This window comes from Homo sapiens, chromosome 7 (assembly GCF_000001405.40).
Source record: "Homo sapiens chromosome 7, GRCh38.p14 Primary Assembly".
In the NCBI taxonomy this organism is placed as follows: domain Eukaryota; kingdom Metazoa; phylum Chordata; class Mammalia; order Primates; family Hominidae; genus Homo; species Homo sapiens.
In genome coordinates, this window is record NC_000007.14 from 90,359,151 (window position 1) to 90,377,853 (window position 18,703).

The window sequence follows — 18,703 nt, forward strand, 5'->3', positions numbered from 1 at the left end:
AAAATTTTTTTTATTATGCTTTAAGTTCTAGGGTATGCACAACATGCAGCTTTCTTACATAGGTATACATGCGCCATGTCGGTTTGCTGCACCCATCAACTCGTCATTTACATTAGGCATATCTCCTAATGCTATCCCTCCCCCAGACCCCCACCCCCTGACAGGCCCTGGTGTGATGTTCCCCACCATGTGTCCATGTGTTCCTTGTTCAGCTCCCACTTAAGAGTGAGAACATGCAATGTTTGGTTTTCTTTCCTTATGGTAGTTTGCTGAGAATGATGGTTTCCAGCTTCATCCATGTCCCTGCAAAGGACATGAACTCATCTTTTTTTATGGCTGCATACCATTCCATGATGTATATGTGCCACGTTTTCTTAATTCAGTCTATCATTGATGGACATTTGGGTTGGTTCCAAGTCTTTGCTATTGTGAATAGTGCCACAATAAACATACGTGTGCATCTGTCTTTATAGCAGCATGATTTATAATCGTTCGGGTATGTACCCAGTAATGGGATGGCTGGGTCAAATGGTATTTCTAGTTCTAGATCCTTGAGGAATCGCCACGCTGTCTTCCACAATGGTTGAACTAGTTTACAGTCCCACCAACAATGTAGAAGTGTTAACTATTTCTCCACATCCTCTCCAGCACCTGTTGTTTCCTGACTTTTTAAGGATCGCCATTCTAACTGGTGTGAGATGGTATCTCCTTGTGGTTTTGATTTGCATTTGACGGCCAGTGATGATGAGCATTTTTTCATATGTTTGTTGGATGCATAAATGTCTTCTTTTGAGAAGTGTCTGTTCATATCCTTCGCCCACTTTTTGATGGGGTTGTTTGTTTTTTTCTTGTAAATTTGCTTGAGTACTTTGTAGATTCTGGATATTAGCCCTTTATCAGATGAGTAGATTGCAAACATTTTCTCCCATTCTGTAGGTTGCCTGTTCACTCCGATGGTAGTTTCTTTTGCTGTGCAGAAGCTCTTTAGTTTAATTAGATCCCATTTGTCAATTTTGTCTTTTGTTGCCATTGCTTTTGGTGTTTTAGACATGAAGTCCTTGCCCATGCCTATGTCCTGAATGGTGTTGCCTGGGTTTCCTTCTAGGGTTTTTATGGTTTTACGACTATCATTTAAGTCTTTAATCCATCTTGAATTAATTTTTATGTAAGGTGTAAGGAAGGGATCCAGTTTCAGCTTTCTACATATGGCTAGCCAGTTTTCCCAGCACCATTTATTATATAGAGAATCCTATCCCCATTTCTTGTTTTTGTCAGGTTTGTCAAAGATCAGATGGTTGAAGATGTGTGTTATTATTTCTGAGGGCTCTGGTCTGTCCTATTGGTCTATATCTCTGTTTTGGTACCAGTACCATGCTGTTTTGGTTACTGTAGCCTTGTAGTATAGTTTGAAGTCAGGTAGCATGATGTCTCCAGCTTTGCTTTTTGGCTTAGGATTGACTTGGCAATGGGGGCTCTTTTTTGTTTCCATACGAACTTTAAAGTAGTTTTTTCCAATTCTGTAAAGAAAGTCATTGGTAGCTTGATGGGGCTGGCATTGAATCTATAAATTACCTTGGGCAGTATGGCCATTTTCATGATACTGATTCTTCCTATCGATGAGCATGGAATGTTCTTCCATTTGTTTGTGTCCTCTTTTATTTCGTTGAGCAGTGGTTTGTGGTTCTTGAAGAGGTCCTTCACATCCCTTGTAAGTTGGATTCCTAGCTATTTTATTCTCTTTGAAGCAATTGTGAATGGGCGTTCACTCATGATTTGGCTCTCTGTTTATCTGTTATTGGTGTATAAGAATGCTTGTGATTTTTGGACATTGATTTTGTATCCTGAGACTTTGCTGAAGTTGCTTATCAGCTTGAGATTCTGGGCTGAGACGATGGTGTTTTCTAAATATACAATCTTGTCATCTTCAAACAGGGACAATTTGACTTCCTCTTTTCCTAATTGAATACCCTTTATTTCTTTCTCCTTCCTGATTGCCCTGGCCAGAACTTCCAATACTATGTTGAATAGAAGTGGCGAGAGAGGGCATCCCTGTGTTGTGCTGGTTTTCAAAGGGAGTGCTTCCAGTTTTTGTCCATTCAGTAATGATATTGGCTGTGGGTTTGTCATAAATAGCTCTCATTATTTTGAGATACGTTCCATCAATGCTGAATTTATTGAGTTTTTAGCATGAAGAGCTGTTGAATTTTGTCAAAGGCCTTTTCTGCATCTATTGAGATAATCATGTGGTTTTTGTCATTGGTTCTGTTTATATGCTGGATTACATTTATTGCTTTGCGTATGTTGAACCAGCCTTGCATCCCAGGGATGAAGCCCACTTGATCATGGTGGATAAGCTTTTTGATGTGCTGCTGGATTCAGTTTGCCAGTATTTTATTGAGGATTTTTGCATCAATGTTCATCAGGGATATTGGTCTAAAATTCTCTTTTTTGTTGTGTCTCACAGGCTCTGGTATCAGGATGATGCTGGCCTCATAAAATGAGTTAGGGAGGATTCCCTCTTTTTCTATTGATTGGAATGGTTTCAGAAGGAATGGTACCAGCTCCTCCTTGTACCTCTGGTAGAATTTGGCTGTGAATCCGTCTGGTCCTGGACTTTTTTTGGTTGGTAGGCTATTAATTATTGCCTCAATTTCAGAGCCTGTTATTGGTCTATTCAGGAATGCAACTTCTTCCTGGTTTAGTCTTGGGAGGGTATATGTGTCGAGGAATTTATCCGTTTCTTCTAGATTTTCTAGTTTATTTGCATAGAGGTGTTTATAGTATTGTCTGATGGTAGTTTGTATTTCTGTGGGATCAGTGGTGATATCCCCTTTATAACTTTTTATTGCGTCTATTTGATTCTTCTCTCTTTTCCTCTTTATTAGTCTTGCTAGCGGTCTATCAATTTTGTTGATCTTTTCAAAAAACCAGCTCCTGGATTCATTGATTTTTTTTGAAGGGTTTTTTGTGTCTCTATTTCCTTCATTTCTGCTCTGATCTTAGTTATTTCTTGCTTTCTGCTAGCTTTTGAATGTGTTTGTTCTTGCTTCTCTAGTTCTTTTAACTGTGATGTTAGGGTGTCAATTTTAGATCTTTCCTGCTTTCTCTTGTGGGCATTTAGTGCTATAAATTTCCCTCTACACACTGCTTGAAATGTGTCCCTGAGATACTGGTATGTTGTATGTTTGTTCTCATTGGTTTCAAAGAACATCTTTATTTCTGCCTTCATTTCGTTATGTACCCAGTAGTCATTCAGGAGCAGGTTATTCAGTTTCCATGTAGTTGAGTGATTTTGAGTGAGTTTCTGAATCCTGAGTTCCAATTTGATTGCACTGTGGTCTGAGAGACAGTTCCTTGTAATTTCTGTTCTTTTACATTTGCTAAGGAGTGCTTTACTTCCAACTATGTGGTCAATTTTGGATTAAGTGCGGTGTGGTGCTGAGAAGAATGTATATTCTGTTGATTTGGGGTGGAGAGTTCTGTAGATGTCTATTAGGTCCTCATGGTGCAGAGCTGAGTTCAATTCCTGGATATCCTGGTTAACTTTCTGTCTTGTTGATCTGTCTAATGTTGACAGTGGGGTGTTAAAGTCTCCCATTATTATTGTTTTGGAGTCTAAGTCTCTTTGTAGGTCTCTAAGGACTTGCTTTATGAATCTGGTTGCTCCTGTATTGTGTGCATATGTATTTAGGATAGTTAGCTCTTCTTGTTGAATTGATCCCTTTACCATTATGTAATGGCCTTCTTTGTCTCTTTTGATCTTTGTTGGTTTAAAGTCTGTTTTATCACAGACTAGGGTTGCAACCCCTGCCTTTTTTTTGTTTTCCATTTGCTTGATAAATCTTCCTCTATCCCTTTATTTTGAGCCTATGTGTGTCTCTGCATGTGAGATGGGTCTCCTAAATACAGCACACTCTTGGGTCTTGACTCTTTATCCAATTTGCCAGTCTGTGTCTTTTAGTTGGAGCATTTAGCCCATTTACATTTAAGGTTAATATTGTTATGTGTGAATTTGGTCCTGTCATTATGATGTTAGCTGGTTATTTTGCTCGTTAGTTGATGCGGTTTGTTCCTAGCGTTGGTGGTCTTTACAATTTGGCATGTTTTTACAGTGGCTGGTACCGGTTGTTCCTTTCCATGTTTAGTGCTTCCTTCAGGAGCTCTTGTAGGGCAGGGCTGGTGTTGACAAAATCTCTCAGCATTTGCTTGTCTATAAAGGATTTTATTTCTCCTTCACTTATGAATCTTAGTTTGGCTGGATATGAAATTCTGGGTTGAAAATTCTTTTCTTTAAGAATGTTGAATATTGGCCCCCACTCTCTTCTGGCTTTTAGAGTTTCTGCCGAGAGATCAGCTGTTAGTGTGATGAGCTTCCCTTTGTGGGTAACCCGACCTTTCTCTCTGGCTGCCCTTAACATTTTTTCCTTCATTTCAACTTTGGTGAATCTGACAATTATGTGTCTTTGAGTTGCTCTTTTTGAAGAATACCTTTGTGGTGGTCTCTGTATTTCCTGAATTTGAATGTTGGCCTGCCTTGCTAGGTTGAGGAAGTTCTCCTGGATAATATCCTGCAGAGTGTTTTCTGACTTGGTTCCATTCTCCCCATCACTTTCAGGTACACCAATCAGACGTAGATTTGGTCTTTTCACATAGTCCCATATTTCTTGGAGGCTTTGTTCATTTCGTTTTACTCTTTTTTCTCTAAAATTCTCTTCTTGCTTCATTTCATTCATTTAATCTTCAGTCACTGATACCCTTTCTTCCAGTTGATCAAATCAGCTACTGAAGCTTGTGCATTCGTCACATAGTTCTCATGCCATGGTTTGCAGCTCCATCAGGTCATTTAAGAACTTCTCTGCATTGGCTATTCTAGTTAGCCATTCGTCTAATCTTTTGTCAAGGTTTTTAGCTTCTTTGTGATGGGTTCCAACTTCCTCCTTTAGCTCGGAGAATTCTGATCATCTGAAGCCTTCTTCTCTCAACTCATCAAAGTCATTCTCTGTCCAGCTTTGTTCCATTGCTGGGGAGGAGCTGCATTCCTTTGGAGGGGGAGAGGTGCTCTGATTTTTAGAATTTTCAGCTTTTCTGCTCTGTTTTTTTCCCCATCTTTGTGGTTTTATCTACCTTTGGTCTTTGATGATGGTGACGTACAGATGGGTTTTTGGTGTGGATGTCCTTTCTGTTTGTTAGTTTTCCTTCTAACAGTCAGGACCCTCAGCTGCAGGTCTGTAGGAGTTTGCTGGAGGTCCACTCCAGACCGTTTGCCTGGGTATCAGCAGCAGAGGCTGCAGAACAGTGAATATTGCTGAACAGCAAATGTTGCTGCCTGATCGTTCCTCTGGAAGCTTCATCTCAGGGGTACCTGGCTATGTAAGGTGTCAGCCTGCCCTTACTGGGGGTTGCCTCCCAGTTAGGCTACTCGGGGATCAGGGACCCACTTGAGGAGGCAGTCTGTCCGTTCTCAGTTCTCAAACTCCGTGCTGGGAGAACTGCTACTGTCTTCAAAGCTATCAGACAGGGACATTTAAGTCTGCAGAGATTTCTGCTGCCTTTTGTTTGGCTATGCCCTGCCCCCGGAGGTGGATTCTAGAGGCAAGCAGTCCTTGAGCTGTGGTGGACTCCACCTAGTTTGAGCTTCCAGGTGGCTTTGTTACCTACTCAAGCCTCAGCAATGGCGGGCACCCCTCCCCCGCCAGCCTCACTGCCGCCTTGCAGTTCGATCTCAGACTGCTGTGCTAGCAATGAGTGAAGCTCCGTGAGCGTGGGACCCTCCAAGCCAGGTGCGGAATATAATCTCATGTTGTGCCATTTGCTAAGGCCATTGGAAAAGTGCAGTATTAGGGTGGGAGTGACCCGATTTTCCAGGTGCTGTTTGTCACAGATTCCCTTGGCTAGGAAAGGGAATTCCCTGACCCCTTGCATTTCCCAAGTGAGGCAATGCCTTGCCCTGCTTTGGCTCACACTCAGTGGGCTGCACCCACTGTCCTGCACCCACTATCCAACAAGCCCCAGTGAGATGAACCCAGTACCTCAGTTGGAAATGCAGAAATCACCCATCTTCTGCATCGCTCGCACTGGGAGCTGTAGACTGGAGCCATTTCTATTTGGCCATCTTGGAACCCCACCCCTGATTTTTGCTCATTGATTTTGTGTCCTGAGACTTTGCTGAAGTTGCTTATCAGCTTAAGGAGATTTTGGACTGAGACTTTGGGGTTTTCTTTTTTTTTTTTTTTTTTTTTTTTTGAGACGGAGTCTCGCTCTGTCACCCAGGCTGGAGTGCAGTGGCGGGATCTCGGCTCACTGCAAGCTCCGCCTCCCAGGTTCACGCCATTCTCCTGCCTCAGCCTCCCAAGTAGCTGGGACTACAGGCGCCCGCCACTACGCCCGGCTAATTTTTTTGTATTTTTAGTAGAGACGGGGTTTCACCGTTTTAGCCGGGATGGTCTCGATCTCCTGACCTCGTGATCCGCCCACCTCGGCCTCCCAAAGTGCTGGGATTACAGGCGTGAGCCACCGCGCCCGGCCGGGGTTTTCTAAATATACAATCATGTCATCTGCCAACAGGACAATTTGACTTTCTCTTTTCCTAATTGAATACCCTTTATTTCTCTCTCTTGCCTGACGGCCCTGGCCAAAACTTCCAACACTGTGTTGAATAGGAGTGGTAAGAGAGGGCATCCCTGTCTTGTGCCAGTTTTCAAAGGGAATGCTTCCAGTTTTTCTTATTCCGTATGAGATTGGCTGTGGGTTTGTCATAAATAGCCCTTAATATTTTGAGATACATTCTGTTGATACCTAGTGTTTTGAGAGTTTTTAGCATGAAGCGCTGTTGAATTTTCTCGAAGGCCTTTTCTGCATCTATTGAGATAATCATGTGGTTTTTGTCGTTGCTTCTGTTTATGTGATGGATTAGGTTTATTGATTTGTGTACATTGAACCAGCCTTGCATCCCAAGGATGAAGCCAACTTGATCATGGTGGATAAGCTTTTTGATGTGCTGCTGGGTTCGGTTTGCCAGTATTTTATTGAGGATTTTCGCATTGATGTTCGTCAGGGATATTGGCCTAGAATTCTCTTTTTGTTGTTGTTGTTGTTGTTGTATCTCTGCCAGGCTTTGGTATCAGGATGATGCTAGCATCATGGAATGAGTTAGAGAGGATTCCCTCTTTTTCTATTGAATGGAATTGTTTCAGAAGGAATGGTACCAGCTCCTCTTTGTACCTCTGGTAGAATTGAGCTGTGAATCCACCTCGTCCTGGACTTTTTTTGGTTGGTAAGCAATTAATTATTGCCTCATTTTCAGGACCTGTTACTGGTCTATTCAGAGATTCAAATTCTTCCTGTTTTAGTCTTGGGAGCATGTATGTGTCCAGGAATTTATCCATTTCTTCTAGATTTTCTAGTTTATTTGCATAGAATTGTTTATAGTATTGTCTGATGGTAATTTGTATTTCTGTGGGATCAGTAGTGATATCCCCTTTAGCATTTTTTTATTGCGTCTATTTGATTCTTCCCTCATTTCTTCTTTATTGGTTTTGCTAGCGGTCTATTTATATTGTAGATTCTTTCAAAAAAAAAAAAACCAGCTCCTGGATTCATTGATTTTTTTGAAGGGTATTTTGTGTCTCTATCTCTGTCATTTCTGCTCTGATCTTAGTTATTTCTTGCCTTGTGCTAGCTCTTGAATGTGTTTGCTCCTGGTTCTCTAGTTCTTTTTATTGTGATGTTAGGGTGTCCATTTTAGATCCTTCCTGCTTTCTCTTGTGGGCATTTAGTGCTATAAATTTCCCTCTCCACACTGTTTTAAGTGTGTCCCAGAGATTCTGATACATTATGTCTGTGTTCTCATTGGTTTCAAAGAACATCTTTATTTCTGCCTTCATTTCGTTATGTACCCAGTAGTCATTCAGGAGCAGGTTTTTCAGTTTCCATGTAGTTGTGTGGTTTTGAGCGAGTTTCTTAATCCTGAATTCTAATTTGATTGCACTGTGGTCTGAGAGACAGTTTCTTGTGTTTTCTGTTCTTTTGCATTTGCTGAGGAGTGTTTTACTTCTCATTATATGGTCAATTTTAGAATAAGTACGATATGCTGAGAAGAATATATATTCTGTCGATTTGGGGTGGAGAGTTCTGTTGATGTCTATTAGGTCTGGTTGGTCCAGAGCTGAGTTCAAGTCCTTGATATCCTTGTTAACCTTCTGTCTCGTTGATCTAATATTGACAGTGGGGTGTTAAAGTCTCCCATTATTATTGTGTGGGAGTCTAAGTCTCTTTGTAGCTCTCTAAGGACTTGCTTTATGAATCTGGGTGCTTTTGTATTGGGTGCATACCTATTTAGGATAGTTAGCTCTTCTTGTTGAATTGATCCCTTTACCATTATGTAATGGCCTTCTTTGTCTCTTTTGATCTTTGTTGGTTTAAAGTCTATTTTATCAGAGACTAGGATTGCAACCCCTGCCTTTTTTTGTTTTCCATTTGCTTGGTAGATCTTCCTCTATCCCTTTATTTTGAGCCTGTGTGTGTCTTTGCACATGAGATGGGTCTCCTGAGTACAGTACACCAATGGGTCTTGACTCTTTATCCAGTTTGGCAATCTGTGTCTTTTAATTGGGGCATTTAGCCCATTTACATTTAAGGTTGATATTGTTATGTGTAAATTTGATCCTGCCATTATGACGTTAGCTGGTTATTTTGCCCGTTAATTGATGCAGTTTCTTCATAGCGTCAATGGTGTTTACAATTTGGTATGTTTTTGCAGTGTCTGGTGCTAGTTGTTCCTTTCCATGTTTAGTGCTTCCTTTAGAAGCTCTTGTAAGGCAGGCCTGGTGTTGACAAAATCTCTCAGCATTTGCTTGTCTATAAAGGATTTTATTTCTCCTTCACTTACGAATCTTAATTTGGCTGGATATGAAATTCTGGATTGAAAATTCTTTTCTTTAGGAATGTTGAATATTGGCCCCCACTCTCTTCTGGCTTGTAGGGTTTCTGCCAAGAGATCCACTGTTAGTCTGATGGGCTTCCCTTTGTGGGTAACCGTACCTTTCTCTCTGGCTGCCCTTAATATTTTTTTCTTCATTTCAACTTTGGTGAATCTGACAATTATGTGTCTTGCGGTTGCTCTTCTCGAGGAGTATCTTTGTGGTGTTCTCCGTATTTCCTGAATTTGAATGTTGGCCGTCTTTGCTAGGTTGGGGAAGTTCTCCTCAATAATATCCTGAAGAGTGTTTTCTAACTTGGATCCATTCTCCCAGTCACTTTCAGGTACAGTACACTAATCAGACATAGATTTGGTCTTTTCACATAGTCCCATATTTCTTGGAGGCTTTGTTCATTTCTTTTCAGTTTTTTTTCCTCTAATTTTGTCTTCTCGCTTTATTTCATTAATTTAATCTTCAATCACTGATATCCTTCCTTTCTTCCACTTGATCCAGTCGGCTATTGAAGCTTGTGCGTGCGTCACGAAGTTCTCGTGCTGTGGTTTTGAACTCCATGAGGTCATTTAAGGACTTCTCTACACTGTTTATTCTAATTAGCCATTCGTCTAACCTTTTTTGAAGGTTTTTAGCTTCTTTGCAATGGATTAGAACATTCTCCTTAGCTCAGTGAAGTTTTTTATTACCAACCTTCTGAAGTCTACTTCTGTTAATTTGTCAAACTCATTCTCCATCCAGTTTTGTTCCATTGCTGGCGAGGAGCTGCAGTCCTTTGGAGGAGAATAGGCACTCTGGTTTTTGGAATTTTCAGCTTTTCTGCTCTGGTTTCTCCCCATCTTTGTGGTTTTATCTACCTTTGGTCTTTGATGTTGGTGACCTACGATGAGGTTTTGGTGTGCATGTGCTTTTTGTTGATGTTGATGCTATTCCTTTCTGTTTGTTAGTTTTCCTTCTAACAGTCGGGCTTCTTCGCTGCAGGTCTTTTGGAGGTTGCTGGAGGTCCACTTCAGACCCTGTTTGCCTAGGAATCACCAGCGGAGGCTGCAGAACAGCAAATATTGCTGCCTGATTTTTGCTCTGGAAGCTTTGTCCTAAAGGGGCAACCCCCTGTATGAGGTGTCTCTTGGCCCCTACTGGGAGGTGTCTCCCAGTTAGGCTACTCGGGGGTCAGGGACCCACTTGAGGAGGCAGTCTGTCCCTTCTCAGAGCTTGAACACCATGCTGGGAGAACGACTCTCTCTTCAGAGCTGTCAGACAGGGACGTTAAGGTCTGCCAAAGCTGTCTGCTGCCATTTTTTCTGATATGCCCTGCCCAGAGAGGTTGGATCTAGAGAGGCAGTAGGCCTTGCTGAGATGTGGTGGACTCCACCCATTTCGAGCTTCCAGGCCTCTTTGTTTACACTGTCAGCACAAAACCGCCTCCTCAAGCCTCAGCAATTGCGGATACCCCTCCACCTGCCAAGCTGCAGCTCATGGCAGGTCAATCTCAGACTGCTGCGCTAGCAGTGAGCAAGGCTCCGTTGGCTTGGGACCTGCTCAGCCAGGCACGGGAGGATATTTCCTGGTCTGCCGATTGCAAAGACTTGGGGAAAAGCGCAGTATTTAGGCAGGAGTGTACCACTCCTCCAGGTACAGACTGTCACGACTTCCCTTGGCTAGGAAAGGAAAATCCCCCGATCCCTTGTGCTTCCCGGGTGAAGCAACGCCCCACCCTGCTTTGGTTTGCCCTCCATGCACTGCACCCACTGCCCAACCCGCCACATTGAGATGAACCAGGTACCTCAGTTGGAAATGCAGAAATCACCCATCTTCTGTGTCGATCTTGCTGGGAGCTGTAGACCAGAGCTGTTCCTATTTGGCCATCTTGGAACTTAACTCTTACAAAGACGTACAGAGTGTTATAATGGGCATTGGAGACTCAGAGGGAGGAAGGATAGGAGGGCAGTGAGGGATGCAAAACTACCTATTGGGTACAATGTACACTGCTTGGGTGATGGGTACACTAAAATTCACTGTTGAGTGAGAATGCAAATTAGTACAACCTATATGGAAACAGTATGGAGATTTCTCAAAGAACTGAAAGTAGAAATATCATTTCATCCAGCAATCCCACTACAGGATATCTACCCAAAGGAAAAGAAGTCATTATATTAAAAAGATACCTGCACACATGTTTATCACAGTATCATTCAGAATTGCAAAGACATGGAATCAACCTTAGTGCCCATCAACCAATGAATGAAGAAAATTGAGTGTGTGTGTGTGTGTGTGTGTGTATCTATATATACACACACACCATAGAATACTACTCAGCCATAAAAAAGAATGAGGACATCTTCCTAAGTGAAGTAACTCAGGAACGGAAATCCAAGTGCCACATATTGTCACTTATAAGTGGGAGCTAAGCTGTGCGTACACAGAGGCATGCAGAGTGGTATAATGGACATTGGAGACTCGGAGGGAGGACAGGAGGATGGGGAGGGATGAAAAACTATCTGTTGGGTACAATGTACACTACTTGGGTGATGGGTACACTAAAATCCTGGACTTCACCATTACACAATGTATCCATGTAACAACAACAACAAAAAAATCACTTGTACCCCTAAAGCTATTGAAATAAAAACATTAAAAGAAATAGGTCGGACATGGTGGCTCACACCTGTAATCCCAGCACTCTGGGAGGCCAAGGTGGGCAGATCACGAGGTCAGGAGATTGAGACCATCCTGGCTAATATGGTGAAACCCCATCTCTACTGAAAATACAAAAAAAATTAGCCAGGCATTGTGGCGGGCGCCTGTAGTCCCATCTACTTGGGAGGCTGAGGCAGGAGAATGGCGTGAACCGGGAGGTGGAGCTTGCAGTGAGCCAAGATCACGCCACTGCACTCCAGCCTGGGCAACAGAGCGAGACTCCATCTCAATAGATAAATAAATAAATAAATAAATAAATAAATAAATAAATAGATATGAGCTATTAAGCTATGAAAAGATGAAAAAAGTTGCAAAAGTTTAAAGATAGTCATTGCATTGTTTAAAGTTATTTTAAAAAAACAAATAATACACACTTGTTTGCATAAAGAAAAAGTTGTCTATGAATTCCACCACCCAGAGATGACTATTAACAGTGTCTGTCTACCTGTATACACATTTTTTACAATGTTGTTTAGAGTGAAAAATTGTAGACAACCTGAAAGTCTGTCAATAGGAAATTAGTTAAGTAAATTACACTTCACCATTGAAAAGTGTTCACCTTATATGATTCAGTTTAAAGAGTAGGCCAAGCAACTATAAAGTAGTTTTCCCCTACTTCCTTCAAAAAAATATGAAAACTTGAACATTAAGACTCTATAAAAACTGCCAATTTTTTGCAGACAATAGAGGGAAAAAGAGCATGTTAAGTGTCCATGTAGGTGCTAGTAGAAAAATGAAGACTTTGGAAAAGAAACTCTGTAGGACAACTGACCCAGTTTCTTTAAAAATAAAATTGCAGATAGGAAACAAGATGGTAGGGGGAGCTTGAAAATAGATTTGAGACACACCGGGTATTTGTAACGTACAGACCTTACTTGGATTTCTATTCAAACCAAATTTTAAGAAGTATATTGCCAATGTATTAATATTTGTTGAAGCTAGGTGATAGCTAAATGGAATTCATTACACCTCTCTACTTTTGTATATGTTTGAAACTGTCTATAAAATTTTTTTTTAAAGCAGTTTACAAAACAAGGTAATGTTTTGTCAGTGTATAGCTGGAGTTAGAAAGTTACAGGTGTTTTTCTTTTTTTTCTTTAATTTCTGTTTTTTCTATGACTTCCAATGGGTTTTTATTTTTAAATCATAATTGGAATAATTATTATACACTTTAAATATTGAAACATCTTCAGTGTCCAGCATGAATTTATCTTTACCTTTTATGTAAGTGTATGTTCTCAAGTTTTTCAAGATTATTTATAATACATTTATATTCTACTTTTAATCCCAAATATATTCATGAAGTCTACTTGAATTGTTAGGAATTCAGAGATAATAATATTGACATTTGTGTATAATTTTATATTCTTGTTTCAGATTCCCAAATGCTGGAAAATCCTCTTTGCTAAGTTGTGTTTCTCATGCAAAACCTGCAATTGCAGATTACGCATGTAAGTGTAATTTGATTGTACATTTTAATGAGTGGAGGTAAACTTTTAAAGACTAATATTTCTCTGAGAATGAATAAAATGATAACTCGGAGGGTATCCTTAACTGAAAAATTTTTGGCAGATAGACTACTGTTGCACAGGCCAAAGTGCAGTTGCATGATCATGGCTCACTGCAGCCCAGGCTCAAGCCATCCCCCTGCATCAGCCTCCCATGTAGATGGGACTACAGGTATGTGCCACCATGCTTGGCTAACTTTTTTTTTTTTTTTGTGGGGACAGGGGTTTCGCCATGTTGCCCAGGCTGGTCTTGAACTCCTAGGCTCAAGTGATCTCCCACCTTGGCCTTCTAAATTGCTGGGTTATAGGTGTGAGCCACCCTCCCCAGCCATATTTTCCATTAATCTTTGAAACCTCTATACCCCTCAGCAAAGTTGCTTAAACAGGTTAGACACTTACTTTATTGCATTTATTTTTCTGTCACAGAATCGTTTATTTGGTTTAGTTAGGATTTTATGAACCACTTACCTTTTATCAGGCACTGTGATAAGTACCAGGAAGGTACTTATCATTCATTTAGCAGATACTTATTTTTGGAGCCACATTAGGTTCTGGGATTACAAAGACTGATAAACAGAAACAGCTCCTGTTTTGACTTGTATTGAGTTTGTAGACTAGTGGAGTAAGGCGTACATATCACTAATAAATATAAGGGAATATGAAAGGGTACTATGAAAGAGTATAGATGACTGCTCTAGGCTTCCTTAAGGATGTGTGATTTTTGGACTGGGATATGAGGAATAATTATGAGGTAATTAGTAAAATAGAGTGGAGGGTGAAGGGTCTTTAATCAGAGGAAATAGTATGTACACAAAGCCTTAGTGGTGGCAGGGAGTAGATTTGTGTGTCTAGAGAACATGAAATAAGGGAAAGAATCGAGATGAGCCTGGAGATGTAAGAGAGCATGTCACATAGACCATTTAGGCTGTATTTGATTTTTATATCTTAAGAGCAATTGGAAGCATTTAAGCAAGGGATAAAATGCTTAGGTTTGCTCCTCACAGAGATCTCGGCCTGTAATGTAGAAAATGGATTGGTGTGGGACATGAAGGGTCTGAGACAACCAGTTAGTAGGCTCTTGTGGTAGCTAGATGAGATATAAAAGAAGCTTTGGTTAAAAGTAGTGAGTATGATAAGATCTCTGCCATCATTAAAAGGACACAGAATGCCATTAACTTGGAAAATAAAATCAAGCCATTCTAAAATTAGACTGTGACGAAGTAGAGTGAAGTTTGGACTAAGTGCTATAAATCACAAGGCCAATATTTGTTATAATATATGTAGGACTTGAGAAGGAAGAGCAAAAAGTCATAGGAAAGAGGCTAGCGTAGGATTGATGAGGCTTAAGGATAACAATGAGAAGGAACTAGAGGATAACTGAATGAGAAGGAACTAGAAAAATTTCAGCCACAGATCCAGTGATAGAAACTTAATATCTGACCCTCCTGAACATCTATCACTCACCTTAAAGTGCAATAGAAGAACGTTGAGGTTCAGTAATTACATTAGGCCTATACAGATTATAAAAATCTGTGTTTGTCTTTTTCCAAATACTATTTATTCATTTATTTTAGAGACAGGGTCTAGCTATGTCACCCAGGCAGGAGTACAGTGGCATGATCATACCTCACTGTAACTTTGAACTCCTGGGCTCAAGCAATCCTCCCACCTCAGCCTCTGGAGTAGCTAGGACTACAGGTGCACTGCCATGTCTGCCTAGTTTTACATTTTTTGTAGAAACAGGGTCTCACTATGCTGCCCAGGCTCATCTTGAACTCCTAGCTTCAAATGATCCTCCTGCCTTGGCTTCCCAAAGCATTGGGATTACAGACATGAGCCACAACATTTGGCCCTCCAAGTACATATTAAATAGCAAAGATAATAATAGTTTCCATTTTAGCAAATTAGAACAAAATCTGAATTGAAATATTGTTTATGCATAATACCAAGACAGTTTTGAGAGTACCAGCCCTAAAATAAATTCTAGCCTTAATTTATTGCTGTGTTTCCTTTTAGTTACAACATTAAAGCCTGAACTTGGAAAGATAATGTACAGTGATTTCAAACAGGTAGGTATTTTTAAAGTAAAACACTATATTAGAAGTCAAAAGTACTTGGTTTTGGTACGTACTTGGATATTATAGTTTTTGCCTGTTTCTGTGGTGTTAGGGGAGAAAAAGTAACAAGATTTTGTTTATGCTAAGTGAAACTGGTCAAATTAATTCTGAGCACTATCATAATATATTTAATTTCTTCTTCCAAAGATTAGGTCCAGTTTATCCCTACAACATTATGTCTTCTTCTTAGCCTTAGTTTCTTCTTATTGCAAGTCTTTCTTTTACTACTATATTGGATTATTTATCTTCATTTTTTAAAAATGCTCTCTAAAGTTCATGGTAATGATTTTATTCCAACTTTTCTTTTTTTGAGAAAGAAAATGTTTTAATGGAGTTTTGGTCTCAACCAGCTATTAAAATTCATTTTTTCCTTCACAAGTAACAACAGTGGATCTTCTGTATAATTAGAAAAAAACTAAAAAAAGGAAAGTAACAATATTTAAAATATAATGTACAATCTAGTAGTTGTGCTCCTTAGCATTTACCCATGTACATTGAAAAGTTATGCACACACAGAAGTCTGCACATGGATGCTTATAGCAGCTTTATTTGTAATTACCAAACCTTGGCCAAGATATCTTTCAGTAGGTGAATGGGTAAATAAACTGTGATATATATTTAGACAGTGGATTATTATTCAGCTCTAAAAAGAACTGGGCTATCAAGCCTCAAAAAGACCTAGGGGAACCTTAAATGCGTAATACTAAGTGAGAGAAGCCAATCTGAAAAGACTGTGTGATACTGTATGATTCTAACTATATGACATTCTGGATAAGGCAAAGCTGTGGAGACAGTAAAAAAAAAAAATGAATGATTTCCAGGGTTAGGGAGGAAGGAGAGATGAATAAGCAGAGTACAGAGAACTTTTAGGGTACACTATAAAGTACAATACATATAGTAAAGTATGATACTATATAATATTACAGCAACATTGTGTTGCTGTAATGGTAGACACAGTATACATTTGTTAAAATCCATAGAATGTACAGCACCAAGAATGCAACAATGTAAAGTATAGACTTTGGGTGCTAACGATGCATCAATATGGGTTCATACAGTTTTATGACATAATTTAAAGAAACATAAAAAAGTATTTGGTTATAATAGTGATAATAACAGTAAAAGATAAAACCAGTTATAATATAGAATGTTAACTGTAAGTAAAATTGTATTAAATATAGGATAATATGAATATATAGAACAATATTTAGAGGAAAAGAGAACATCATTTATACCGAATTTTTAAGGGAAATCAGTAGAGGAAATTTCAGGACATGAGACTTCTGTTGTGCATGCTGCTTTGTCAGCTTCCTTTAAGACCCTGAATTATTTATCTACACTGGGCAAGGGATGTCGAGTACTGCCTCTCATTCTTTATTGCACTTCAGAATTATCTGGGTGGTCTAAGAACAGCAATGATGAGTGATGCTTAGGCCCCAGAGATTTGAAACTAAATCTCTTGGGGGTAGGGCCTGGGCATTTGTAGCTTCTAAGAGTTCCCTACGTGATTATGATGCACAGTGAGGTTTGAAAAGCACAAGTGGCCGGGTGTGGTGGCTTACACCTGTAATCCCAGCACTTTGGGAGGCCAAGGCAGGCAGATCACGAGGTTAGGAGATCGAGACCATCCTGGCTAACATGGTGAAACCCTGTCTCTACTAAAAATACAAAAAAAAAAAAAAATTAGATGGGTGTGGTGGTGGGTGCCTGTAGTCCCAGCTACTCCAGAGGCTGAGGCGGGAGAATGGCGTGAACCTGGGAGGTGGAGCTTGCAGTAAGCCAAGATTGCCCCACTCCACTCCAGGCTGGGCGACAGAGCGAGACTCTCTCAAAAAAAGAAAAGAAAAGCACAAGTGTAAAATGATGGTTAATAATGATTATTCCCTCTAAAAGGAGTCTAGGAAACTGTATTCTTTTATTATGTTGGTACAAAAGTAACTGTGGTTTTGGCCATTAAAAGTAATGGCCAAAAGTAGGAGAAAGTAGGAGAGCCACAACTACAACTTGGGTTTGTCGAGTGCTGTTTCACCTGACTGATCTTACTTGAATACTGGCACAAAATGAGATGATGACAAGGTGACAAGGAAGCATGCTCAGGTGAATGAACTTCTAGATGATAGAACTCTGCTCCTCATGTAATGCCATGAGATTTGCTTAAGTATAAACAATAATGACCTACAAAAATGTGAAGCATTAACAAACATGGCACTGCAAAGAACAGGTGAGGAGAATCACACCTCTATTAATGTAGTAAAGTCTCTTAAAAGTAATGCCAAAACCACAGTTACTTTTATACCAACCTAATACTTTGTAAGAATGGTCGATAATCCTGCTAGTATAATATGAACAGAAAAGGAACAATTGGTGCCAAATAAATAATTACAAATTGAATTTAAAATACAGAGCTGTACCTGGTAAATGTCTGCTGAATTAATAACCTCATAGATTTTTACGAATTTGGAGTATAAAGGTTGAAATTCTGTGAAAAGTTCATATTGGACAATACCATTTAGGAAATTATAAATAAATTTTAAACTAGGGATTAGTGTGGTGGCTCACGCCTGTAATCCCAGCACTTTGGGAGGCTAAGGTGAGAGGATCACTTGAGGATAGGAGTTTGAGAGCAGCCTGTGCAAGATAGCGAGACCCTGTCTCTACTAAAATTTTTTTAGTTAACTGGGCATGGCGGTACGCACCTGGAGTCTTAGCTACTTGGGAGACTGAGGTGGGAACATAGCTTGAGCCCAGGAGTTTGAGGCTACAGTGATCTATGGTCACACCACTGCACTCCAGCCTGGGTGACAGAGCAAGATCCTGTCTCTAAAATAATAATAATAAATAAATAAACAAATGTTAAACTAATCTGTAAAATTCCTAGATTATTAGATTAATAGTAAATATGGGACTCTAATATCTGATAACAAAATTTTAATTCTTAATACTGTACATTAATTTTACTCTTATACTTGGCTTTTCAAAGATGTAGTGGTAATCATAAGTTAGGAACTGTTTATATTTGAAATATCTTAAAAATTTTGGGATGTAATTGAACTTGCGGTTTTCATACATTTTCCTTTTTCATTAACCATTTAACTTTGTATTAGATATCAGTAGCTGATCTTCCGGGTTTAATAGAAGGAGCACATATGAACAAAGGAATGGGCCACAAATTCCTCAAGCATATAGAAAGAACTAGACAACTACTTTTTGTTGTAAGTCATATGTATACTAATGTGATATTCAAATAAATTGAAAACCAGTGAATTTAGTTTTTCTAGAATTTTTTTATAAATAAGAAAGTGGTAGCATATGTTACTCCACTAAGTCTTTTATAATATGGGGATGGAAGTGACATTGTTTACTATATCATATGTAAGTTTGGCCATACTTGCCAACATGTATTTCCTTAAGATTTCCAGCATACTACCATATTATATAGTATCATAGTATC

The 18,703-nt window shown here is 39.6% G+C and overlaps 1 protein-coding gene across 2 annotated transcripts in view; it reads left to right on the top strand.

Annotated features, from left to right (window-relative positions):
• The window catches only part of GTPBP10 (GTP binding protein 10), a 44,738-nt gene that overhangs the window by 12,435 nt on the left and 13,600 nt on the right, over nucleotides 1-18,703 (top strand). For both annotated transcript variants that reach the window (NM_033107.4, NM_001042717.3), the window contains 3 exons: nucleotides 13,005-13,078; nucleotides 15,152-15,204; nucleotides 18,357-18,464. In NM_033107.4, coding sequence (NP_149098.2) covers nucleotides 13,005-13,078; nucleotides 15,152-15,204; nucleotides 18,357-18,464 — 235 coding nt within the window. The remainder of the gene's footprint in view (nucleotides 1-13,004; nucleotides 13,079-15,151; nucleotides 15,205-18,356; nucleotides 18,465-18,703) is intronic.